Source organism: Homo sapiens, chromosome 5, assembly GCF_000001405.40.
Source record: "Homo sapiens chromosome 5, GRCh38.p14 Primary Assembly".
In the NCBI taxonomy this organism is placed as follows: Eukaryota; Metazoa; Chordata; class Mammalia; order Primates; family Hominidae; genus Homo; species Homo sapiens.
Genome location: NC_000005.10, coordinates 151,742,792 through 151,768,693, shown reverse-complemented (window position 1 = coordinate 151,768,693; position 25,902 = coordinate 151,742,792). Strand labels below are relative to the sequence as shown.

General features: G+C 45.1%; 1 protein-coding gene, 1 long non-coding RNA gene and 1 pseudogene across 2 annotated transcripts, besides 4 other annotated features; 2 read left to right on the top strand and 1 right to left on the bottom strand.

Moving 5' to 3' along the window:
- On the top strand, positions 2,325–3,034 carry RPLP1P6 (ribosomal protein lateral stalk subunit P1 pseudogene 6; annotated as a pseudogene).
- Positions 9,875–10,124: a silencer, noted in NCBI's record as "silent region_16527". NCBI's record gives its function as "represses an Ori minimal core promoter by ATAC-STARR-seq in GM12878 lymphoblastoid cells {active_cell/tissue: GM12878}" and the evidence as "EXISTENCE:reporter gene assay evidence [ECO:0000049][PMID:35858748]".
- Positions 10,063–25,872, top strand: ATOX1 (antioxidant 1 copper chaperone). The gene is made up of 4 exons (NM_004045.4): positions 10,063–10,148; positions 16,915–16,990; positions 22,245–22,415; positions 25,735–25,872. The coding sequence occupies exons 1-3, from the start codon at positions 10,143–10,145 to the stop codon at positions 22,367–22,369; spliced, it is 207 nt and encodes a 68-aa protein (NP_004036.1). The 5' UTR covers positions 10,063–10,142; the 3' UTR covers positions 22,370–22,415; positions 25,735–25,872.
- Positions 10,334–15,614, bottom strand: ATOX1-AS1 (ATOX1 antisense RNA 1). The gene is made up of 4 exons (XR_007059008.1): positions 15,385–15,614; positions 14,572–15,021; positions 11,623–11,756; positions 10,334–10,405 (listed from the first exon to the last, which is right to left on the bottom strand). It is a non-coding gene; the product is annotated as an ATOX1 antisense RNA 1 (long non-coding RNA).
- Positions 10,895–11,024: an enhancer, noted in NCBI's record as "active region_23467". NCBI's record gives its function as "activates an Ori minimal core promoter by ATAC-STARR-seq in GM12878 lymphoblastoid cells {active_cell/tissue: GM12878}" and the evidence as "EXISTENCE:reporter gene assay evidence [ECO:0000049][PMID:35858748]".
- Positions 18,775–19,024: an enhancer, noted in NCBI's record as "active region_23466". NCBI's record gives its function as "activates an Ori minimal core promoter by ATAC-STARR-seq in GM12878 lymphoblastoid cells {active_cell/tissue: GM12878}" and the evidence as "EXISTENCE:reporter gene assay evidence [ECO:0000049][PMID:35858748]".
- Positions 22,647–23,846: an enhancer, noted in NCBI's record as "P300/CBP strongly-dependent group 1 enhancer chr5:151124409-151125608 (GRCh37/hg19 assembly coordinates)". NCBI's record gives its function as "activates an origin of replication core promoter dependent on BRD2, BRD4, P300/CBP, MED14 and CDK7 cofactors, with strong dependence on P300/CBP, by STARR-seq in HCT116 cells {active_cell/tissue: HCT116}" and the evidence as "EXISTENCE:reporter gene assay evidence [ECO:0000049][PMID:35650434]".
- Positions 25,873–25,902: the final 30 nt, after the last annotated feature.

Here is a 25,902-nt window from a genome sequence, read left to right as displayed (position 1 = left end):
TTTTCTCGCTTCAGCCTCCCCAGTAGCTACAGGCCTGCATCATTGTACATAGCTAATTTTTTTTTTGTAGAGACAGGGTCTCAGTTTGTTGCCCAGGTTGATGTCAAATTCCTGGCCTCAAGTAGTGCTCCTGCCTTAGCCTCCCAAAGTGCTGGGATTATAGGTGTGAGCCACCATGCCTGGCTGTGTGATTTTAAAAAAAATAGAAATGCCCATATTATTATTTTAATTAGTGTTAGGTATAGATTTTAATAGTGATATGAGGAACTATAATATAGAAATTTTGATCTTTAAAACAAAAGGGATGTAATACATTAGGCCTTGTAGGTAGGTATATGAGAGGGGTGTTTTGGGGGGGTTTTCTTGTTTTTGAGACAAGGTCTCGCTCTGTCACCCAGGCTGGAGTGCACTAGCAAGATCACAGTTTACTTCAGTCTCAACCTCCTGGGTTCAAGTGATCCTCCTACCTCAGCTTCCCAAGTAGCTGGGACCACAGGTATGTATCACCAAGCCCACCTAATTTTTTAAATTTTTGTAGCGATAAGGTATCACTGTGTTGCCCAGACTGGTCTTGAACTCCTGGGCTCAAGCAATCCTCCAACCTCAACCTCCCAAAGTGCTGGGATTACAGGCGTGAGCCACTTCACCCAGCCTTACAAGAGGTTTTGAAAATGAGGTATCCACGTTTTAATTCACCTCCCCAAAAACTGCTAACCTCTTTGCCTTTTGCTCCTTACCATGCAAAGATCATACAAAGATCCAAGCCAGGTGTGGTGGCTCATGCCTGTAATCCCAGCACTTAGGGGGGCTGATGCGGATGGATCACTTGAGGCCAGGAGTTTGAGACCAGCCTGCCCAACATGGTGAAACCCCACTTCTACTAAAAATACAAAAATTAGCCAGGTGCCTGTAATCAGTTGCAGCTACTCGGGAGGCTGAGGCAGGAGAATTGCTAGAACCTGGGAGGCAGAGGTTGCAGTGAGCCAAGATTGTGCTACTGCACTCCAGCCTGGGCGACAGAGCAGGACTCCACCTCAAAAAATAAATAAATAAAATAAAATTAAAATAAATAAATAAAATAAAATCATACAAAGATCCAAAGAGGCCCTTTACTGGCTTAGAAAGACATGCCTAATTGCATTCCTCCCTTCTTTGGCATTGTCTCTTGGCAAATACATCACCTCCTCAGACTCTGTGGAGCACTGACCGTGCGCCAGGTACCTTGCTAATATTCTTTCCAAGAACGATCTCATTTAATATTCACAACATCCCTATTTCCTATTTCTCAAGTATGAAAACAGGCTCAGAGAGGGAAACAACTTGCCCTTGGTCACATAGCTAGGGCTAGAAGCTGGGACTCTCTGACTTCAAGTCCATGTTCTTTTACCCACTCTCAATACTGCCCAGAGAAAGAAGATACAGTTATGAATACAGAAAAGGGGCATATTCTTCTCAGAAACCCCTGAAAGGCTGGGGCTTTTCCTTCAATATCTCAGGCATGACACCAGATAATGCTGCATAGACAAATTTCCAAGTGATTTGAGAGTTCTGGAGTCCATGGCAAATCTTGAACATCTGCAGCCAAAGCTCTTTGCAGAAGGTTCTTTGCTGCACACTCTGGTACCACATATTAGAAGTCCTCACTTTCTGTGGCTTAGAAGAGGAATAAATAGCATATATATCAAGCACCCATTATGTGACAGTCACAGTGCTAGTTACAGTTTTTCAAGTCATCCTTACAAAAACTCTATGAAGTATTAACTCTTTTACAGATGTAGAAACTATGGCTCAGAAAGGCTAAATGACTGGCCTATAGCTGGAAGGGGGCAGAGCTCAGAATCAGACTCAGGTTTATGTCACTTGGAATTCAAAGCCCAATAAGGAAAAAAGAAACAAGAATAAAATATACATAAGACCTCATCTAAGGCCAGGCCCAGTGGCTCAGGCCTGTAATCCCAGCACTTTGGGAGGCCGAGTTGGGCAGATCACTTGAGGCCAGGAGTTCAACACTAGCCTGGCCAACATGGTACAACCCCGTCTCTACTAAAAATACAAAAAATACCGGGTGTGGTGATGCATGCCTGTAATCCCAGCTACTCAGGAGGCTGAGGCAGGAGAATCGCTTGAACCCAGGGGGTGAAGTTTGCAGTGAGCTGAGATTGTGCCGCTGCACTCCAGCCTGGGTGACAGAGTGAATGAGACTGTCTTAAAAAAAAAAAAAACTAATCTAATCTTCAAACAGCTCATTTCAACAGATAGGGAAACCAAAGCAAAAAGAAGTTAAATAATTGTTCAATCATGACATTGTGAAAAATGATACTTTGCCCTTTCCTCAGTTGCCACCAAGGTGCTTGGTCCTTCCGAGGAAGCTAAGGCCACATTGGGGTGAGGCCATCACTTCATCCAGTGACTAGCACCACCTCTGGCAATGTCAGCCCCACACTCGCCCGCGCCATGGCCTCCATCTCCGAGCTTGCCTGTGTCTACTTGGCCCTCATTCTGCACGATGACGAGGTGATCATCATGGAGGTTAATATCAATACCCTCATTAAAGCAGCCAGTGTAAATGTTGAACCTTTTGGCCTGGCTTGTTTGGAAAGGCCCTGGCCAACGTCAACATTGGAAGCCTCATCTGCAATGTAGGGGCTGGTGGACCTGCTCTAGCAGCTGGTGCTGCACCAGCAGGAGGTCCTGCCCCCTCCATTGCTGCTGCTTCAGCTGAGGAGAAGAAAATGGAAGCAAAGAAAGAAGAATCTGAGGAGTCTGATGATGACATGGGCTTTGGTCTTTTTACTAAACCTGTTTTATAATGTGTTCAATAAAAAGCTGACTTTACTGCTGTTGGTCTTGCCCATAGTTTGGGAATGTGCTCTGCAAAAATGGTCTCAGTTTTGTAATGTTGGCTTTTAACCTATTCTGCCATGACACAGGCTGGTTTTGCCTGCCACCGTTGCCTGATGTGAGATCTTGGACAATCCTGATGCCAACAAGAAGGCACCTCATGGTACAGTGTTGAAAGCTGAAGTGGGGTGGCAGGAGGAAGGATCAGAGCAGATGCTTTGTCCAAGTTACGTATAAACTTGATAATTATCAAGTATTATAAACTTAATAGAGCCACCATGTCCAATTTTTAATTGTGGTAAAACATACAGAACATAAAATTCCTCTTTCTAACCATTTTTAAGTGTATAATTCAGTGGCATTAAGTATATTCACAATGTTGTACAAGCATACTCAGAGTTCTTAACTGTTGTCAACTAATCAAAAAATATTTTGAATACTTTAGGAACTGAAGTTATCAAGTTTATAATACTTGATATAAATATCAAGTTTATAATATGTGATAAACTACACTCTTTATACTGATAGACTACACTGGAGGTGGAGGGTAATACAGACTTCAGCTTTAGAAAGCCTCCTGGGTAATTACCCTATACAACCCTGCCTAAGAATTTTGACCTATGCTGAATGTTGACTGCTACATCCCAAGGTTGTAAAGCAACAAGACCTAGCTATGTAGTGTCTCAACAAATGCTTGGAAGTTTTACAGTAACACTGAAGGAGTACAGAAACTAAACCATTAAGGTCCCCAGTTACACAATGTGGATAAAACAAGATTCAAACCTGTGTTCCAAAAACTAAGAGCTTTTTTTGTTTGCCAATTAATAATAGCATGAATGGAAATTTTGACTTTTCAGGCTTGGATTTATATAATAAACTGTGGGTATTGTGTGTTCAGAGTAGCTATTATGTGCCAGGCACTTGGCATATGAATGAGTCTTATCCTTACCTCCATCAGCATTTAATAGATAGACATTCAGTGATGAAAAGAAAAAGAAAAATGATACTTTGCCAATACCAAATGTTGGCAAGGGTGTGAGAAATAATTACTCTCATATACTGCTAGCACAAAATATAAATTAGCATAGCCTTTCTGAGGGTAGTTTGCTAGCATCTAGTAAAATTTAAAATCCACACACCCTATGATGCAGAAATTCTACTTTTTGGTATCTACTTTGAAGAAACACTCCCACATGTATACAGAGAGCAAAAATATTATTATAGCATTGTTTATAATATGGCAAAATAGTCTGTTTTTTATGGAATAGCTAAATTTACTGTAATATATCCATACTAGAAAAATTTTTGTAGCAATTTAAAAGATTGAGCTAGTTCATATATGTGCATATATGTGTGTTTATATTCAAATATTTTTAAAATATTTATATATAAAAAACACACATTTCCAAAGCAGATTGATAATTTTAAAAAGTGTCTTGCAAATTATGTATAGTATATCATATATGCTTTAAAAATACCAACAACTGGCCAGGTGCGGTGGCTCACGCCTGTAATCCCAGCACTTTGGGAGGCTGAGGCGGGTGGATCACAAGATCAGGAGTTCAAGACCAGCCTGGGCAACATGGTGAAGCCCCATTTCTACTAAAAATACAAAAATTAGCCAGCCATGGTGGTACATGCCTGTAGTCCCAGCTACTCAGGAGGCTGAGGCAAGAGAATTGCTTGAACCCAGGAGGCAGAGGTTGCAGTGAGCCAAGATCGCACCACTGCACTCCTGCTTGGGCAACAGGGCAAAACTCCATCTCAAAAAAAAAAAAAAAAAAAAAAAAAAAAAAAAAATATATATATATATATATATATATATATACACCAACTATCCATTCACGTATGTTTATTAATGTTTGTAAATGCATTTAAAAAGTCAGGATGGATTATACAGCAATCTGATAGCATTGCTACTTCTGCGGAAGAGAGTGATATAAGGGTTTTTAAGAGATTTTCATTTTATATGTATTGTTTTGAAAGTTTTTTACATTAAGAAATTTTCCCCAGATGTGGTAGCTCATGCCTGTAATCCCAGCACTTTGGGAGGCCAAAGTGGGTGGATCATTTGAGGTCAGGAGTTTGAGACCAGCCTGATCACCATGGTGAAACCCCATCTCTACTAAAAATACAAAAAAAAAAAAAAAGAAAAAAATTAGCTGGGCCTGGTGGCGCATGCCTGTAATCTTAGCTTCTCAGGACGCTGAGGCAGGAGAATAACTTGAACTCAGGAGATGGTAGTTGCAGTGAGCCAAGATCATGCCAATACACTCCAGCCTGAGCAACAGAGCAAGACTCCATCTCAAAAAAAAAAAAAAAAAAAAAAAGAAACTTTTCATACTGCTCACCACAGCACGATGAGCTACGTCTAATTATTATCTTTATTTTACAAGAGAAGAGACAGAGTCAGAGAGATTAAATGCCTGAAACAGCAAGGAACTGAACGCAGGTTTGTCTGGGTTGTCTCATTAAACACATCTTTAGAAACCTGAAGCCCCAGGGGTACAGAGAACAAAGGAGGAAGAGGAGAGCATGGCAGATGTTCCCTGACCATTGGCTGCTATGTTGGGAGTCCACTAAAGAGTGCTGGGGACTATGATGGCTTCTAAGATGATCACTGTCCCCTCACATGGCAGAAGGGCAAAAAAGGCTTACGGTACTCCCTTCAACATCTTTTATAAATTCTCTAATCCCTTCCATGAGGGTTCTTCCCTCATTACTTAATCACTTCCCAAAGGCCCCACTTCTTAATACTATCACATTGGCAATTAGGTTTCAACATACGAATTTTGGTGGGACACTTTCAGATCAGTGCCATTCTATATGGTGACTCTTCCTCAAACCAGGTGCTTGAGCAAAACCAATTTGCACAGAGCCACTCCTCCAGCTTCAACCCACTCAGCCAGTTATGGGCATATCACAGGAGAGATAAATCTTCGTCATTTTAAGCCATTGAGGCTTTGGGATTGTTTGTTACTACAATATTACTTGGCCTATCCTGTCAGTCATAGACATGTTTCCAGATCTTTCAGTTTTTCAGGAAATATTAAAACTCTAGGTTATGTGACTCAATGTTCTTTTTTTAAAACATTTACTGATAGTACGAAAACTTTTGGTCTTGCCTAAAAAATACAATGGAAATATTCTGAGGACTTTAACTGAATAGGTTTCACCCTTTTTATTATCATTATTATTATTGAGACAGAGTTTCGCTCTGTTGCCCAGGCTTGAGTGCAGTGGCGCGATCTCGGCTCACTGCAACCTCCACCTCCGGGGTTCAAGCGATTCTCCTGCCTCAGCCTCCCAAGTAGCTGGGACTACAGGCACCCACCACAATGCCCAGCTAATTTTTGTACTTTTAGTAGAGACGGGGTTTCGCCATGTTGGCCAGGTTGGTCTTGAACTCCTGACCTCAAGTAATCTGCCTGCCTCTGCCTCCCAAAGTGCTGGGATTACAGGCGTGAGCCACTGCACCCGCCCATCACCCTTTTTAAAAACTTATTTAGGCCAGGTGCGGTGGTTCACGCCTGTAATCCCAGCACTTTGAGAGGCCGAGGCAGGAGGATTGCTTATGAGAGCAACCTGATCAACATGCCAAGACCCCATCTCTACAAAAACATACAAAAAAATAGCTGGGTGTGGGGACATGCACCTGTGGTCCCAGCTACTCAGGAGGCTGAGGTCAGGGGATCCCTTGAGCCCAGGAGGTCACAGCTGCAGTGTGCCATGTTCACGCTACTGCACTCCAGCCTAGGTGACACAGCAAGACCCTGTCTCAAAAAATAAAAATTAAAAACTATTTAGAATTTTTATTTTTAAAAATGCTTTTCCTAGTCTTGTAATAAGAAAGCAACTAATTTTACATGTCAGTCTAGAAATAAATAAATTTATTTATTTATTTTTATTTTGAGACAGGGTCTTGCTCTGTCACACAGGCTGGAGTGTGGTGGCACGATCACGGCTCAGTGCAGCCTTGACCTCCTGGGCTCAAGTGATCTTCCCACCTCCGCCTCCCAAGTAGCTGGGACTACAGGTGCACAACACCATGTCCAACTAATTTTTAAATTTTTTGTAGAGACAAAATCTCGCTATATTGCCAGGCTGGACTTGAAGCAATTCTCCTGCCTGGGACTCCTAAAGTGTTGGGATTACAAGCATGAGCCACCATGCCCTATTTTTAATTGTGGTAAAACATACAGAACATAAAATTCCTCTTTCTAACCATTTTTAAGTGTATAATTCAGTGGCATTAAATATATTCACAATGTTGTACAAGCATACTCAGAGTTCTTAACTGTTGTCAACTAATCAAAAAATATTTTGAATACTTTAGGGACTGAATAAAATGTGTCTGTAGACCCAGTTCTGCCAGCATGTGGCTCTGCAGGACACCATGCTCCCTCTCCCAAGCCTGCAGTCCACGCTCCCTCAGCTTCCACTTCATAGCCCTTCTCTTCTCATGCATGCCTTGGCTGCTCTGAGGGCCCTTTCAGCTCAGAATCTTTGGTCCCAGATAAAGGGTCCGTTGGTGGATAAAGCAGTGAGGCAAGTGGTGTATACCTGTGTTATGATACAAAAAACAGACACTTGGTTTCCTGCGGTGGGGATATCGGGGAGCAGGCAGCAGCTACAAAACCTTTCTTTGCAAAGAATTAAACTCCTCAGCATCTGTCAAAGAAAGGGTCATCCCAGGAGGCTGGGTCTAGAAGTAGATTACACCAGGAAGAACCCACCATCTATACATGCCTACAGTGTGCACATTCCTATCCTTGCAACAACACTTTCAGCCAGAAAGCAGGGATTCTATATGCCCATTTCCCAGGCTCACTGGCTTAGTGATGGCTCATTGCCTGTAATCCCAGCACTTTGGGAGGCCAAAGTGGGCAGATCACGAGGTCAGGAATTCGAGACCAGCCTGGCCAACATGGTGAAACTCTGTCTCTACTAAAAATACTAAAAATACAAAAATTAGCCGGGCATGGTGGTGGGCGCCTATAATCCCAGCTACTTGGGAGGCTGAGGCAGGAGAGTTGCTTGAACCCAGGAGGCGGACGTTGCAGTGAGCCAAGATCACGTCACTGCACTCCAGCCTGGGCGACAGAGCAAGACTCCATCTCGGGGAAAAAAAAAAAAAAAGCTAAGAAAGAAAAGGGTTGATATGTACTATTAAGGAATAATCTTTTTTTTTTTTTTTTTTTAAATACAGGGTCATATTCTGTCACCCAGGCTGGAGTGCAGTGGTGTACTTATGGCTCAATGCAGCCTTGACCTCCTGAGCTCAAGTGATGCTCCCACCTCAGTCTCCTGAGTAGCTGGGACCACAGGCATATGCCACCACACCCGGCTAATTTTTGTATTTTTTGTAGAGCCAGGGTTTCACCATGTTTCTTAGTCTGGTCTCAAACTCCTGGGCTCAAGTGATCCTCCCACTTAGGCCTCTCAAAGCAATGCGATTACAGGTATGAGCCACTGCATCTGGCCCAGGAATAATCTCTAAGATATTTTATAAAGTGAGAAAAGCAGGATGCAAAACTGTGTATACTATGCCTTTTGTTTAAGAAGGAGAGGTCAGGGTAGGAGGAAGACCTACTTTTCACTGTACGCTACTTTGTGTTATTTGAAAATTAAACAGTAGGTACATTGGGATTCCACCTGCAAATCCTACACTTATCCAAGATAACTTCTAGTAACATTGGCTGTGGTTCATTTCATGCTTATTTTAATGTAAATACACGGAATGTATGTATATATTTATGCAGGAACTACAGTCTGGCATATTTTCTTCTCCTCTTTAATAGGTCTTTATTTGTGATCTTTAACAGATCTTTATAAAGCTGTCTTCTCTTTAAATTGCTGTCTCTAGGCTTAGCCATCCCCCCAACCCATACCCCTAATTCTCTAAAACATGCCGTGGGTGGTTCGCCCTGTGTACTGTTGCTTTGGGAAGGATTTCCTTCCCTCATGTCCACTCTCCGCCTTCCCTCATGGCAATCTAGCTATCCCTAGCCCCAGGGCACAGTTGTACCCAGGACTACCAAGATGCTAAGCCTTGCCCGTACAGGACCTAATGTGCCAGTACCCTCTTTCCCTCTCCTCCTCGCCCCCTTCCCTTCCATCTTTAGGGAATTCCTGGCAGGTTGGGTAGGGGATGAATGGTTAAGGGGTATTTTGTGAGCAGCGGAAGACCCAGTGCCAGGGAGGCCAACAGAGGGCCTAGCAATTAGAGAATACTTATATATATTTTTGGTGCCTACCATGTGCCAAGCAATGTATTAAGAAGTTTGCACACATTACATGTATTCCAACAATACTGCAAAGTAGGTTTCTTGGAGGGAACCATGTGTCGTTGTTTGCCTGAAACAGTCATGGTGTTTGCCTGTTGTCCTGGCAAAATTATTAATAGCATCTCCTTTCTCTAGCAAAAGGTTCAGATAAAAAATTGTATAGTGACCTTAACTGTCCCCATCTTATACGTGAGGATATTGAGGCTTAGAGAGGTAAGTTCATCTGCCCAGGGTCACATGGCTAATAAATGATAGGGCTGAGATTAAAACTCTAGTCAGTATGGCTCTGCTAGGGACTGAACTCTGACATGGACATGAATTGTGTCCCCGCAAATTCCTATGTTGATACCCTAACCCCCAATGCGACTGTATTTAGAGACAAAGCCTGTAACAGGGCGATAAAGGCTAACCGAGGTCCAGATTATTGCCTTCTCCCCAGGCCGCCTCTCTTCCACAACCGCCCCCACCCCACTGCAGTCAGGGCCCTTCCTCCTCTGTCACAACAGCTCTGCTAACCCTGCACTATCACTGCCTGCGTCCTTCGCAGCCTCCTGCTGCTGCTCTTCCACCGCTGCGTCCTCGTTGGCTGGCGCTTAATAAAAATTGACTCGGTGAATAAATGAGTGAAACTGTCCTTTTAGGGATGGATGGATGATGTCCTGTTCAAGGCGGTGCCCTTCTCTGGCATTCCCTAACACAAGCTTGACCCGAAGTAGGCGTTCTGAAAAAGGCCGACAGTCGATGGAGGCCAACGCAGCGCCCCTCTCACCTCCTCTCTCCGTCCAGGCCGGGTGACCACGGGCCCGGCCCGCAGAAAGGAGGCGGCGCGGCCGGCAGGGATCAGGACTGGAGGGGGCGGAGCCTCCCTCGCGGCCGGGCCCGGAGTGGGAGGGGCCTCCGGGACCAGGCCTCTAGTGCGCACTCTCGGAAGCGCAGCCGAACCCGCCCTCCGAATCCAGAGAGGCGCTGCTGACACCGCCGCCACACCGCCGCCACACCGCCGCTGCCTCAGTCATGCCGGTGAGTGGTTGCGCCGTCCCCGCCACGCAGACTTGCAGTCCCGGGTTGCTTCTCGGCTGCACAGCCGCTTGACCGGATGCTGATCTTGAAGGGCTCAGGCGGCGGCCGGAGCCGCTGTTGTCCCCTAGCTTACCCCACCCAGCCCCCAGCTTTTGCGACCCTTCAGAAAATGGGATCCGAAGGGAGTTTAATCTGGGAGCCAGGCTTCAAAACGTCGGAGCTGGAAGGCCTCCAGGGGCGACAAGCCCACACCTTCCCTGCGTACACAGAGAAACAGAACCAGAGAGGGGGCAGGGGATGGGGGAGTTGGTGGCCAGCGGGAACTGAGACGCCTAGTCCCTGAGCCTTCCTCCTGGCTGCCCTGCCCGCGGAGCTGGCCTGAAGGAGGGCGGTGGGGAGGCTCTGGACAAGGGAGTGGACCCGGTTATTTCCTCACGGACCGGGCAGGTTTTCAGAGGTTCATGCTTTTCTTAATTTCCCTGCCCACTCTGGCCTACTTTTCAGATCAACTCTGGGCGACACTGAATGGAGACACTTTCTCAGCCTGAACCCATGAGCCCCAGAGAGGTTCAGGAACCCCCCCGCACAGTCACCAGTTGCTCAGTGGCTGTGTCTGGGAAGTCAGTCTTAGCCTGCCTTTGCAGATCACTCAGTCTTATCACATATATTGTTGCTCGTGGCCTCGTTTTTTATATAAAGAATTGAGGCCTTTGGCAGATAAAAATATAAAAAGCCCAGTAACTTATTCCAGGTCGTGTTGAAGTTGGCAGAGCCAGGATTCAGCTCCTTATCCTTAGGCTCCCCATCTCTCCAGGCCTGACCACATGGGAGGTGCCAGGCAAAAGCAGTCACACCGGCTTGGGAAGATGCTCTGATCTCAGTTGCATCTTGGTTAGGGTCATGTGGTGTTTAGCATTTTCTTCAGGGTGCCTAATTCATGGCTCTGGGCCAGGTGGATACCCAGAGGTATCCCACAGTTGCCATGTGTCTTTGCATCCTGTCTTTAGGGAGCTGGCAGGTGAGCCTGAGGCCTCCTGGGCAGAGCCACTGACATCTCAGGTGTCATTTCCTGTGGGTCTTGCCAGGTGCCTTGAGACAAATCCTCCAACAACAAAGTATGGATAAGGAATCTGATAGAATCAGCCCTACCAGTTGGGCAAGTCAGCCTGTGGCAATGGTAGAAGACAGTATTAATTGCCCTGGGGCTTGGGGAGTGAAGGCCACCAGGATTTTTTGTGGGGGGTGGCAATGAGGAAAAGGCTAGCTTGATCATCACTGTATTCTGTATCTTCTGGGGATTTTGACAAAAAACCCTCTGGAGCAGATGATGGGAATGAGGAGGGCACTTGGCACCATGTACCACAAGATAACAGCTGAAGGAAAGAGGGTGTTAGTCAAGGGATTTCCTCAAAACTGGAAAGGGAAGAAAAAAATATATCTATATACACATACTGGAAGGGGAAGAGTGTGTTACCTGAGAGTTTTCTCAGACAAATGCCCGAGAGCACAGGGTTTGGAATCCCAGAAACCTCTGAAAATCTGTGCCCCAGCTTGCCAACTGGGTGACCTCAGGCAAGTTGCTTTATCTCACTGCCTTGATTTCCTCATCTGTAAGATAGGGACAAAAACTTTGACCTCACAGGACTGTTGTTAGTATTAACTGGAAAAATGCCAGTAAAATATGTCACACAGCCACTGATATATCTAGTCCCCAAGAAATGGTAGCTCCTGTGTAGACGTAGGACAGGTGGGCTAGAGCTATAGGCAGGTGAGGCCGGGCATGGTGGCTCACGCCTGTAATCCCAGCACTTTGGGAGGCCCAGGCGGGCAGATCACTTTAATGCAGGAGCTTGAGACCAACTTTGGCAACATGATGAAACCCTGGCTCTACAAAAAATACAAAAAATTAGCCAGACGTGGTGGCCCGTGCCTATAGTCCCAGCTACTTGGGAGGCTGAAGTGGGAGGATTGCTGGAGCCTGGGAGGTTGAGGCTGCAGTGAGCCGTGATCGTGCCACTGCATTCCAGCTTGGGTGACAGAGTGAAAGTGAAACCCTGTCTCAAAAGAAAAAAAAAAAAGGAAGGAAGGAGAGAGAAAGAAAAGAAAGAAAGAAAGAAGAGAAGAGAAGAGAAAACTATAGGCAGGCAGCTTTCAATCCCATTTTAACAAGATCTCAGTGGTTAAGCATTGAGGTTTTAGAGGCTGACTATGTTCAATTCAGGCCCTACTCAGCCGAATCACCGTGAGTGTGTGAACTAACCCCTAAATCTCAGTTTCCTCATCTGTCAAGAAGGGATAATAATAGGCCAGGTGCGGCGGGTAATGCCTGTAATCCCAGCACTTTGGGAGGCTAAGGCAGGCAGATCACAAAGTCAGGACTTTGAGACCAGCCTGGCCAACATGGTGAAACCCCGTCTCTACTAAATATACAAAAAAATTAGCCGGGCATGGTGGCGGACGCCTGTAGTCCCAGCTACTCGGGAGTCTGAGGCAGGAGAATCGCTTGAACCCAGGAGGCGGAGGTTGCAGTGAGCTGAGATCGTGCCACTGCACTGCAGCCTGGGTGACACTGTGAGACTCAGTCTCAAAAAAAAAAAAAAAAAAAAAGAATCATCCCACTTACTGACTTTAAAAACCTACTTTAAACCTACTGGCTTTTAAAATCTACCCATTTTATAAGTCTTTATAAAAGACCCCAGAGGCCATGAGGAACCAGAACTACCCAGTTATGCATCTGGTGGTAGAGCCAATCTTGAGATTCTCCTATAAAGAAGTGATTACTCTGTCCATGAAATAGATTTTCCATCACCCTCAAATTTATTTTTGCCCCTCAGAGGTGGAGGAGGAGAGCACTGAACTGTAATGTTTATACCCAGAAGCTGGTTTCTGGCTTCTGACCTTTATACTGTGGGGGATGGGACCTACTCCCTGTAGTCAGCGACAGAAAGTTTCAGGTATCTGTTGACTTTAGGTCCTTGGGCAGCAAAAAACTGTGCTCCCTAAAAATGTGTTTCTAGTTTCAGAGCTTCTGCTGAGAGTCAGGGTTATGAGGGCTGGCGGTGTACTTTGCTTTTCCAGAACCAGCAAGATTTCCCTGGAGCGAAGAAAGCCTAGGTTCATATTCCATACTCAGTAGTTATTTGCCACATGACTGCAAGCTACCTAGTGAACTCTTGGGAACTTCACTTTCCTCCTGAGTGAAATAAGATAAATAGCTCTCTTTCCAGGCTCAGTGAGGACTAACTTAGATACTGTACAAAGATAATTTGACATGTAATAGACAATCAGTAGATTTAGCTCTTATGTTGATCTTGCAAACCCTTCAAAGCTTTGGCTCAGTATATAAGTACAAACCATAGATGAATTGATTTTCTGCTGGTTATCCTAGAGCAAGACTCAGCAAACTTTTTTTTTTACACGGCACCGATAGTAAACATTTTAGTCTTCACAAACCATAGGGTCTCTGGTACAACTACTCAACTCTGCCATTCTAGTGCAAAAGTAAACAAATGAGTTTGGCTGTAGTTTTTTGTTTTTGTGTTTCTTTTTTTTTTTTTTTTTTTTTGGACGGTGTCTCGCTCTCTTGCCAGGCTGGAGTGCAATGGCATGGTCTTGGCTCACTGCAACCTCCGCCTCCTGGGTCAAGCGATTCTCCTGCCTCAGCCTCTTGAGTAGCTGGGACTACAGGCGCATGCCACCACTACCAGCTAATTTTTGTATTTTTAGTAGAGATGGGGTTTCACCATGTTGGCCAGAATGGTCTCGATCTCTTGACCTCGTGATCCTCCCGCCTCAGCCTCCCAAAAATGCTGGGATTACAGGCATGAGCCACCACACCTGGCCCGATTTGGGCTATGTTTTAACAAAACTCTTTGTAAAACAGGTAGTTTGTAGTGTGCCAATCCATGTTCCAGAGCATCATCATTTTTTTTTCCAAAACAATTTTTTTCTTTTAAATTAAATGGAGCCATGATCTCACTGTATTGCCCAGGCTAGTCTCAAACTCCTGGGTTTAAGTGATTTTCCTGCCTCAGCCTCCTAAGTAGCTGGGATTACAGGCACCTGCCACCATGCCTGGCTAATTTTTTTTCTATTTTTAGTAGAGAAACAGGTTTTGCCATGTTGGCCAGACTGGTCTCAAACTTGTGACCTCAGGTGATCTACCTGCCTCAGCCTCCCAAAGTGTTGAGATTATAGGCATGAGCCACATTGCCCAGCCTAAAAAAACTTTTTAATAGAGGAGAGCATCATCTCAGACTGTAATGTGGGGAGGAATGACTTGGGTGTCTTGTTAAAATGAGGATTCTGATTCCGGACTTCTGGGAAGGGACCTGAGATTCTGCATTTCTGACAGGCTCTCAGGTGATGCTCATATTGTTGGGCTGAGGACCACATTTTAAAGACAAGATTTTGTAATACTTACTACAAATCCTTCTTTCCAGAATCTGTTATTGTTGCTGTCTGTGAATAGTCAGGAAACAAGATGAAAAAATCAGAGATGTTTAGAAGAAAGGAAAGACTGACCATTTTCTTTAAGACAGATTTTGCAGATTTGGCCTTAATAAAAGGAGTGGTTTACTAGTCACAAAGGTCAAACAGTCTGCACTGGAAAATCGAGCTGCTTAATTCTTGGTCTTCGTTTCCTCTGTAGAGCACAGTGACAATCCAGACTCAGCGGTGTTTAGAGACTTGGAAAGAGTTTGAGAAGCCACTTAGCCACTTTATTTTCAGGTTTGTAGTTTTGCCTCCCGTTCTCTCCCCAGTAGGTTAAAAATGGGGAGTGGCAGGGCCCGCTCCACATCCACAGAGTCAGTTGAGGCAGGTGTCTGGGAGCTGCACTTTCCACAAGGTCCCCAGATTCTTCCTATGCACACTAAAGTTGAAAAAAATTGAGTTAGCTAATACCCTTTTGGTATAGATTAGGGAACTGGAGCCCTTCTGGAGCAGAGATTTTGCCTGTGGTTTTCTAGCAAGATATATCACTACACCCAGGATTCCAACTGAGGTAATAGACTTCAAATATTTTGAAGTGCTCCATGAAAAATGTAGCCATTGATTTTTGAAGGGAAACAGGAGAGACAAATGGAAGAAATTAATAATCCAATAGCTAACCTTTTACCCAACGGAACCTAGTACTAGGCTCTAATTTCCTTAATGTGTTAGTTATCTATTGCTCCTTAGTAATTATCCCAAAACTTTGTAGTATAAAACAACAAATATATTTATAGTAACTCACACAGTTTCTGAGAGTCAGGAATTTGGGAACAGCTTGGCCTAGTGGCTCCAGCTCAGAGGCTCTCATAAAGCTGCAGTGAGATGTTGGCTGGAGCTGCATTCATCTGAAGGCTTGACTGGAGCTGGAGAATCCACTTCCAACATGTCTCACTCACATGCTTGTTAGCTCGAGGGTTCAATCTCTCACTTTGTGGACCTCTCCTTGTGGTTGCTGGAATTTCTTTGTAATTTAGTAGCTGACTTCCTCTAGTGCAAGTGACCCCAGAAATGGAGCAAGACAGAAGTCACAGTGTCCTTTATGACATTGTGATAGCTTCAGAAGCCACATAACCTCACTTCAAGCCATATTCTATAAGACACACAGACCAACCCGAGACATGTGGAATGGGATTACTCAAGGGCATAAATACCAGAGGCAGAGATCATTGAGGCCATCTTGGATGCTGGCTAACCGTACTTAAAATCCTGTGTTCATCCCATTCACAAATCTAGAGAGGGACTCTTACCCTCAATTTTCAGATGTGGAAACTAAGGCACAGAGAAGTAACATATTGATGATCATGCAACTAGTAGTGCCAGAGCTGGTATCTGAAGCCATATTTATCTGATTTCAGATGGTCTCATTTCCAGAGATTTTAAAATAAAGTATTGGTATAAGTAATCCTTGTGTGAAAGCAAAGCAAAAGATCCAGAAGTTCAAACCAGCCATGTCAATTATCCATTGACTCAAAAATAAGTTTTAAGCACCTACTCTGTCCAGGCACTGTTCCAAGTATTAGGAATCCAGTAGTGAACTGAACAAAACCTCTGTCTTCTGGGAGCTTACCTTCAGACCCTTGATCTGTTAGATATCCTAGAGACTGTAGAATGTAGAGCTTACATGAAGACTAGGAGCCGGGGATCCCTTCCTGCCTGGCCTCCAACCCACTGGGGAACCCAGGCAATCCTTTCTTTCCCTGGACCCAGATGCTGCCTCTGAGAATGCGGCCCTTGGATGAAAGCAGAATCACCTGGGGTAATGAGTAGACATAACAGATTCCCCAGCCCAGACCTGCTGACCAGAACCTGTAGTTTTTGCAAGCTGTAGGTGACTCTAGTGCAGAAAATAATTTTGTGGTTCATAAGTGGGCCCACCAGATCAGCATTGCTCAGAGTATGGGGGCCCATCCCTGTCAGAGTTACTGGTGGCCCTGAGACAAAGCTCATAGCTCAAGAATCAGTGTTTTGAAGGTAGGACTGGGAAAAAGCATTTTAAACTAGATCTCCAGGTGATTCTATTTACTATGTGCCAGACACTGCTAAAGGATTTATAGGGATGATTCCATTGAATACAACTTGTGAGGTAGAAACTCTTAGCTACTCTATAGTTGAAGAGACGGGCTCAGAAACAGGCTTCTGATGAGTCTGATGCCAACCAGGTCCTGCCCAGTCTCTCTGTCTTCTGTCTTGACCCTGAGTGGGCCTGTCTGCTGGCACTGTGTGGGGGTCACTCTACAGGGCTCGGGTCATGGTCCCCCTGTGTTTGTTTCAGAAGCACGAGTTCTCTGTGGACATGACCTGTGGAGGCTGTGCTGAAGCTGTCTCTCGGGTCCTCAATAAGCTTGGAGGTGAGTGAGTGGCCCTGAGTTGGGTGCACTTATGCCATGTTCAGATGCATGCAGATGTTGCAGGAGAGACTTAGGGTTAAGCTGATCATAACAGTAAAACTAAAATATATTGAGTACTTAGCACGTGCCAACTACTCTTGTTATTTTCTTAGTGGCTTATGTGAATCACATCATTTAATCCTCACCACGGCCATTTCAGATAGTTTTTTTTTTACTAGCTCCATGTTAAACAGGAGACAGCTGAAGTTCAGAAACATTAAATAACTTATCTGGGATCACATGGTCAGTAAATGGCAGAGCTGGGATTTAGCCAAATTAACTAGTACTGCCAGGAGTAGCTCTGGAGCCATGGCAGTACTAGTTCATATGTTGGTCATCTCCAGTGTGTACTGCATGACACATCTGAGTGTCATTTTCTATTGAATTTTTTTTTTTTTTTTTTTTTTTGAGACAGAGTTTCGCTCTTCTTGCTCAGCCTGGAGTGCAATGGTGCAATCTCGGCTTGTTGCAACCTCCGCCTCCCAGGTTCAAGCAATTCTCTTGCCTCAGCCTTCCAAGTAGCTGGGATTACAGGCATGCACCACCACGCCTGGCTCATTTTGTATTTTCAGTACAGACGGGGTTTCTCCATGTTGGTCAGGCTGGTCTCGAACCCCTGACCTCAGGTGATCTGCCCGCCTCGGCCTCCCAAAGTGCTGGGATTACAGGCGCGAGCCACCCTACGCAGCCTCTATTAAGGTTTTTTAAATGGGGCTGGGCACGGTGGCTCACACCTGTGATCCCAGCATTTCGGAAGGCTGAGGCGGGCAGATTGCCTGAGCTCAGGAGTTCCCGAGACCAGCCTGGGCAACATGGTAAAATGCCATCTCTACAAAAAATACCAAAAAAATTAGCCAGGCATGGTGTTACATGCCTGTACTCACAGCTAATTTAGGGGGCTGAGGTGGGAAGATCGCTTGAGCCTGGGAGGTTAAGGCCACAGTGAGCCTAGATCGTGCCACTGCACTGCAGTGGGGGCAACAGAGCAAGACCCTGTCTCCAAAAAAAAAAAAAAAAAAAGAAAGAAAAAAAGGAAAGATTTAAAAAAAGGTAAAAATTTTTAAAATTTTGTCTTTTTCTGTTTCTTTACTTCAAAAAAAAAAATTTAAATTAATTTTGAATCACTCACATGCAGATTTTTTTTTTTTTTTTTTTGAGATGAAGTCTCACTCTGTTTGTTGCCCAGGCTGGAGTGCAGTGGCATGATCTCAGCTCATTGCAGCCTCTGCCTCCTGGGTTCAGGCGATTTCCGGTGAATTTTTGTACTTTTCATAGATATGGATTTCACCATGTTGGCCAGGCTGGTCTTGAACTCTTGACCTCAAGTAATCCGCCTGCTTTGGTCTCCCAAAGTGCTAGGGTTACAGGCATGAGCCACCGCACCTGGCCACATGCAGATATTCTTAAAGCACCTCTTTTGAACAATCAGTCTCATCCAGCCTTGTCATTTTACAGCTGGGGAAACTGAGGCCCAGAGAGGACTGGGATCTGGTCCTGGGACTCAGTGAGGTAATAACTGAGTTGTGATCAGAGTTTTGGCAATGCCAGTGCTCAGTCAGCCTTCTAAGATTTTTTCTTTTCTTTTTCTTCCACATGAACTATCACACAATCTTCTAAAATTTTCTTTTTTAAAACCCTAAATAATAATGACATTAAGTTTTCAAATGGCTTCCACATGGACGTGATCTCATTAGCAGTCCTCTGAGCTGTACTTTCCATCTTTGGAATGGGGATGTCGATGCCAGTGTCCAGGAGGTTAAGTGACTTGCCCGTAGTCCCGCAGCAAGTCAGTGGCTGGCCTCTAGCCCTGTAAACTGGGATCTTAATCTGAAAGAAACTGAAACAGTGGAAAGAACCTAGCTGCTGACTTGTCATGTGACTGTGGGCCCTTCTTTCTCGGGCCTGGGTTTCCCCAGCTGTGGTATGGGAATGTATATCTTGTATGTCTGTATCAGCTTTTGCTGTTGATGCTTTTTTTTTTCTTTTTCTTTTTTTTTTTTTTTGGAGATGGAGTTTGCTCTTTCACCCAGGCTAGAGTGGAGTGAAGTGGCATGATCTCTGCTCACTGCAACCTGCTCCACTCTGCCCCGGGTTCAAGCGATTCTCCTGCCTCAGCCTCCCGAGTAGCTGGGATTATAGGTGCCCGCCACCACGCCTGGCTAATTTTTTTTTTTTTTCTGAGGCAGAATTTCGCTCTTGTTGCCCAGGCTAGAGTGCAATGGCGTGATCTCAGCCCACCGCAACCTCCACCTCCCAGGTTCAAGCGATTCTCCTGCCTCAGCCTCCTGAGTATCTGGGATTACAGGCTCAGGCCACCATGCCCGGCTAATTTTGTATTTTTAGTAGAGACGGGGTTTCTCTATCTTGGCCAGGCTGGTCTCAAACTCCTGACCTTAGGTGACCTGCCCACCTTGGTCCCCCAAAGTGCTGGGATTACAGGCGTGAGCCACCGTGCCCAGCCTGTTGATGCTTTAAAAATGAAACTGTACAGGAGCTCCTCAAATACAAAGCAGCAGGCTCTGGATGAAGTGGGGATGGGCCTAATTTCGTTTGACAGCTCAAAGACATCTACCCATCCCAGGAACTTCATCCAGGCTGGAGTGCAGTGGCGCGGTCTTGGCTCACTGCAGCCTCAACTTCCCAGGCTCAAGCCATCCTCCCACCTCAGCCTCCTGAGTAGCTGGGACTACAGGACCACACCCGGCTATTTTTTTGTTTTTGTTTTTGTTTTTTGTAGAGACAGGGTCTTGCTTTGTTATGCAGGCTGGGAAACCATATGTTTTGTTTGTTTGTTTGTTTGTTTTGAGAGGGAGTCTCACTCTGTCTCCCAGGCTGGAGTGCAGTGGCATGATCTTGGCTCACTGCAACCTCTGCCTCCCAGGTTCAAGTGATTCTCCTGCCCCAGCCTCCCGAGAAGCTGGGATTACAGGCACATGCCACACACTGAGCTAATTTTTGTATTTTTAGTAGAGATGGGGTTTCACCACGTTAGCCAGGCTGGTCTTGAACTTCTGACCTCAAGTGATCCACTCGCCTCAGCCTCCCAAAGTGCTGGGATTACAGACATGAGCCACCACGCCTGGCCAACCATATGATTTTTAAGGCCCCTTGCTGGAAGATCTGCCTTTAAGCTTCGGCAGGTTTCTGCCCATCTTTTCCTACTGTCCCTGCTTGGGTGGCCTCTTGAGAAGGGTCAGGAGGGTTTTTTGAGTTGCTTATGGCCCTAAAAGAACAGTGGTAGGGCTGAGGAATCACAGACTGATGGCATCCTTGAGCTGGAAAGGCCACAGGAGCTGGCCAGCCCTGACTCCTTCATGTACAGATGAGGTAGCTGAGGCCTGTGAGAAGCAGGACCCTCCTCCCACCGACTCCCTGCCCATGGTCACCCAGCAAGTCAATGGTGAGGCCAGGCCTAGAACCTATCAAGAGTTTTCCTTTCTTTTTGCACTCTTTTGTCAGAGTAAAACTCTGGGTCCTCCCATGTGCTGCTGGGGAGCTGTAAATTGGCATAGCCATTTAGGAGGGCGATTTTGCAATGTCTATTAAACATTCAAAATGTGCCAAATATCTGTTGCCCCACAATTTCCATTCTGTGAATTCATGGTATAACAATATTTTTATAAGTGTTTTAAGACAAGTTCAAATATGTTTACTATAACATTGTGATAGTGGTGAAAAATTAGAAGCATCCTCAATGACCTTTAACAGTGGATTAATTAAGTGGATGTGTGGTACGTCCACACTGTGGAAGATTGTAGCTTTTAAAAAAAGAATAGGGCCGGGCACTGTGGCTCACGCCTATAGTCCCAACACTTTGGGAGGCCAATGCAGGTGGATCACCTGAGATCAGGAATTCAAGACCAACCTGGCCAACATGGCGAAACCCCATCTCTACTAAAAATACAAAAATTAGCTCAGTGTGGTGGCTCATGCCTGTAATCCCAGCCACTCGGGAGGCTGGCTGAGGCAGAAGAATCGCTTGAACCCGGGAGTCAGGCTACAATGAGCTGAGATTGTGCCACTGCACTCCAGCCTGGGTGACACAGCGAGACTCTGTGTCAAAAAAAAAAAAAAAGAATGGACCGGGTGCAGTGGCTCACACCTGTAGTCCCAGCACTTTGGGAAGCCAAGGCAGGCGGATCGCTTGAGCCTAGAAGTTCAAGACCAGCCTGGGCAATATGCGAAACCCTGTCTCTACATAAAATACAAAACTTAACCAGGCATAGTGGCATGTGCCTGTAGTCACAACAACTTGGGAGGCTGAGAAGGGAGGATCACCTGAGCCCAGGTATTCAAGGATACAGTGATTTGTGATTGTGCCACTGCACTCCAGCCTGTATAACACAGTGAGACCCTGTCTCTAAATAAATAAATAAATAAAAATGAATAAATAAAGAGAAAAGTAAAATATTAGCAAGACCTGTTTATATAGTGTGATGCGATTTGGAGGAATTATTTTTCATTTGTCTATCTAGGACAAAGTCTAGATAGAAGCCAGACTGTTCACAGTGATCTCTAGGGGCAGGATCAGTAGGGGGCCTTACTGCTTCTACTTTTATTTAGAAATGTTTGCTTTTTTGAAAAAAAAAAAAAAAGTGTCTATATTACTTTTGCAATTAAAAAAAAAAGGTGGCTGGGCACGGTGGCTCATGCCTATACTCCCAGCACTTTGGGAGGCCAAGGCGGGCAGATCACTTGAGATTAGGAGTTTGAGACCAGCCTGGGCAACATGACAAAACCCTGTCTCTACTAAAAATACAAAAATTAACCAGGTGTGGTGGCATACGCCTGTAATCCCAGCTGCTCCAAAGGCTGAGGCATGACAATCACTTGAACCCAGGAGGTGGAGGTTGCAGTGAGCTGAGATCATGCCACTGCACTCCAGCCTGGGCAACAGAGTGCGTCTCTGTCTCAGAAAGCCCTAGTATAGAACAGAGATCAGCACATGGGCCAAATCCTGCTCACAGCCTGTTTTTGTATGTTCAGGAATAGAGTTATAAAAAAAATACACAGAATATACAACAGAGTCTATATGTGACCCACAATGCCTAAAACATTTGCTTTCTGGCCTGTTACAGAAGAAGTTTGCCGATCCCTGCTCTAGAGGAAAGGGCAAGGGTGGTTGTGAGTAGTAATTTAGAGCCTGAACTCTTTCTTGCTGTAACTGGGAGGGTCTGTGCTTCCTCTCCCCATACCCCATTTCCTCTTCCTGCAGGAGTTAAGTATGACATTGACCTGCCCAACAAGAAGGTCTGCATTGAATCTGAGCACAGCATGGACACTCTGCTTGCAACCCTGAAGAAAACAGGAAAGACTGTTTCCTACCTTGGCCTTGAGTAGCAGGGGCCTGGTCCCCACAGCCCACAGGATGGACCAAAGGGGGCAGGTGGGTAAGGCCCCAGCACTTGCTGAACAAACCTACAGCTCACACCTCTCATCAGAGCGAACACCTTGGCCTTTGAGAGCTTGAGTGGAGCGGGAGAGCCCTCTGGGTTCTTTTCAATCCACTGTCCACCTTCTTTGGAGTGGTTACAAATATTTTATTATTGTCTAATGCAAATCACAAGTTCAGGGAATTCTTACAGACCCTGTGAGTGGACAGAGCACTGTGTAATGTCTCCCAGAGTCCTCTTTCAGACTTGAGGGTTGCAGTTCATGGTTAGCAGGGTTTAAGTTTACAGTATGTGACCCTAAGCAGTGCACCTTTGACTTCTTTATTTGTTCATTGGTTTGAGACAGTGTTTCACTATATGGCCCAGGCTGGAGGGTAGTAACTCTTCATAGGTGTGATCATAGTGCACTATAGCCTTTAACTCCTGGGCTCAAGTGATGCTCCTGCCTCAGCCTTCTAAGTAACTGGAACTATAGGCACCTATCACCACACATGGCTCTGGCTTTGATAAACTGACTATCTCATCAGAGTTGACACTTGTGCCTTGGGCCTTGTTCTCCTGTGCCCTGACCAAGTGAGTTAATTCAGACTGTGCCGCTCTCTCTACTTGAAACTGTTGTCAGCTTCCTGAGCATGCCCTCTGTCCAGACTGGTACAAAAACAATAGCATGTTTGAGCTAGATGTTCCCTTCACTTTTATGTAATCCAGTGATGCAGTAAGGGGCACTGTGCCAGCACTCTTCGCTCTGGAACCAGGCAGACCTTACTCATTGATCCAGCCACAGTCTCAGCAGGGCACTCCTGGCTGCCACTGCCCATGTAGTGCATTTGACTCGTGAATTACAATGATCGCCACACCTCTGATGTGGTTTGGTGCCCTGACGTGACTGAGAAAAATGAGGCCAAGAGAGGGGAAGTGATTCAACCAGAGTCCCACCCTGGTGAGTAGCAGAGGCAGGAAGAAAGTCAGATATCCTGAATCGGAGTTCTGTAACTGTTACTGGTGGCATTGTCCCTGTGAATGGGCCCACAGAGACCCCCTGGACAGAGGCTAGCCACACTGACTGGTAGGTCCTCTTTGAGGATAGCCTCCTTCCCAAAGGCATACATTTGGAACCTGAGTCATAGCAGTGTTCTGTGTATGTGGTAACATCACATGCAAGTTACAAGATGTCAGATGCATCTGTTTTCGTCATGCACTTTCCATCCATAGATAGAACCCATATTCAGGAATGAACCCAGGATGAATAATGAGGAATCTAGGATTCTAATTCCAACTTTCCTCATTTCACACTGACTTTGGGGACTTTTTACATTACAGAGATTTGGTCTTCCCATCGGTAAAATGGGGCTAAAACCTCCAACCTGCTTTCCTGCCTTGTGGGGACTGCTGTGCAATCTCTCCACATATGAAAGTTTATCCTCTAGGGAAGTAAAACATCAGCGGTTTCCAGCATGTTGAAGAACAGTGTTTCTTACATCATTCCTCCACCCCTAGGGTTTTGTAGGGAGGGTGAGTGGATGGGGCTTTGGACCCTCCATAGCTCCCAAACGGTCCTGTGTCATATTGGGCTTCCCGTAAGACTGTATTTTATAAAAACGCTCTGTAACAAGAAGGAATGGAGGCAGAGAAGGAAAAAAATACTCTTCCTGAACTAGCTATATACATGGGGAGCCCTAATGCACACATCTTGGATTAGAAACTCCAGGCCTGGGCATACGAACTTTTTTAACTAAAAAAGTAATATCTGTTGGATGTAAACCATGTGTAGCTTAATGTGTTTTTCTCATAGAAAACATGTTTTCTCATGTTATTTTATTGAGATGAAATTCACAAGACATAATAACTATTTTAACCCATTTATGCTGAATATTGCAAAGTTTTTTATGTGAAAAATCAAACCTTGGTGATGACCTTGAACAGTAGGATATAAATAACTCCTGCAAGCTTAGCGTTCCAATAATGGAACACTAGGCATAAATGGGTTAAAGTCTATCATTTAGTGGCATTTGGTGTGTTCACAATGTTGTATGACCACCATCTCTCTCTAGTTTCAAAATTTTTTCATCATCTCAGAAACACACCCTGTATCCATTAAGAAGTCACTCCCCACTACCCATCTCTCCATCCCCTGGCAGCCACTAATTTGCTTTCTGCTACTCTGGATTTGCCTACCCTGGACATGTCATATAAAAAGAATTACATTATATGTGACCTTTTTGTGTCTGCCTTTTTCCATGTAGCATAATGTTTTCAAGATTCATTCAAGTCATAGCATGTGTTGTAAATCATTCCTTCCAATACTTAATAATTTTCATGGTACTTTTAATCTACTTTAGATTTTTTATGATAGGAAGTTTCAAACATGTGTAAGTAGAGTAATAGAATGAATCCCCAAGTACCCGTCACTCAGATCCAACAGTTAGTATTTATTTCACCAAGGCCTGTTATTTTTTGATAAAAGTGCTCTGTGACAAGAAGGAATTAAGGAAGAGAAGGAAAAAAACTCTTCTGGAGCTATCTGTATCCATGTGGGGGAGCCCTAATGCACACATCTTGGATTAGAAACTCCACTGTCCTCATTGTTTCATCTGGGTGATGAAACACCCAGATTATTTTGAAGCAAATTCTAGACATCATGCCCACTCCCTCCTGCCCAGATTATTTTGAAGCAAATTCTAGACATCATGCAATCTTACCTGTACATATTTCAGTAACCATGTATTGTTTGGAAAGGCTCCTGGAAATTCAGATGCACAGTACTCAGTAAGAATCACCCAATAAGCCAGCTTTAGTCCACATGCTCAGGCAGCATGTCTTTGAAGTCTGTTTTAAGAGGCTCCTCAGTGACTGATTTGAAGCCAGGCTTGGGAACCTCAAAGATAGAGTGTTTATTGGTTTTGAAGTCACCTTGATCATCTGACTCTTGGCAGATTTATTTGCCATGATTTTGTTCATTGCCTTTCCAACCTGTAACAGGATAGAGAGTGCTGTTGACTGGGTATCCTGGCAGCCCTGGAAATTCCCCAGAAGAGGGCTTTGGCAGTGATTGGCTTAGCAAGGTTAATGCGTTCCAGCCAACCTAAGTATAACAGACTTCATGGGAGCAGTGTGCAGGGCTGGACACTGGGGCTCTAGTCCTGCTCCTGCATCTGCACCCTGCGTTTTCCACCTCACCCCTGCCTTTTAGTGCAAGACTCTTAGTGCACCCCTGCGTCACCCCTGTCTCTTAGTGCATTTATTGCCTTTGCAATGTCGCTATGTCCACACCAGATGGCACCTTTGTTCCATCTAACTTTCCATCTTTCCTAGGATGCTGATCCTCCCGCTGGCTTCCAGACAGACCTGGGACTTGGCAGTCATGCCGGGTGATGGTGTTCCTGCGGAGACCCTCAGTTGTCCTATTCCTTCCTAGCTTCCCTGCAATAAAATCAAGCTGCTTTTGTTGGAGATGTTGTCTTGCCTGGTCTTGGTGTTGCT

Bases quoted from the DNA above. Each gene is read 5' to 3' on its own strand.
- ATOX1 (NM_004045.4), top strand. The intron at 16,991-22,244 runs GTGAGTGAGTGG...CTCTTCCTGCAG, and splicing joins GGTCCTCAATAAGCTTGGAG to GAGTTAAGTATGACATTGAC.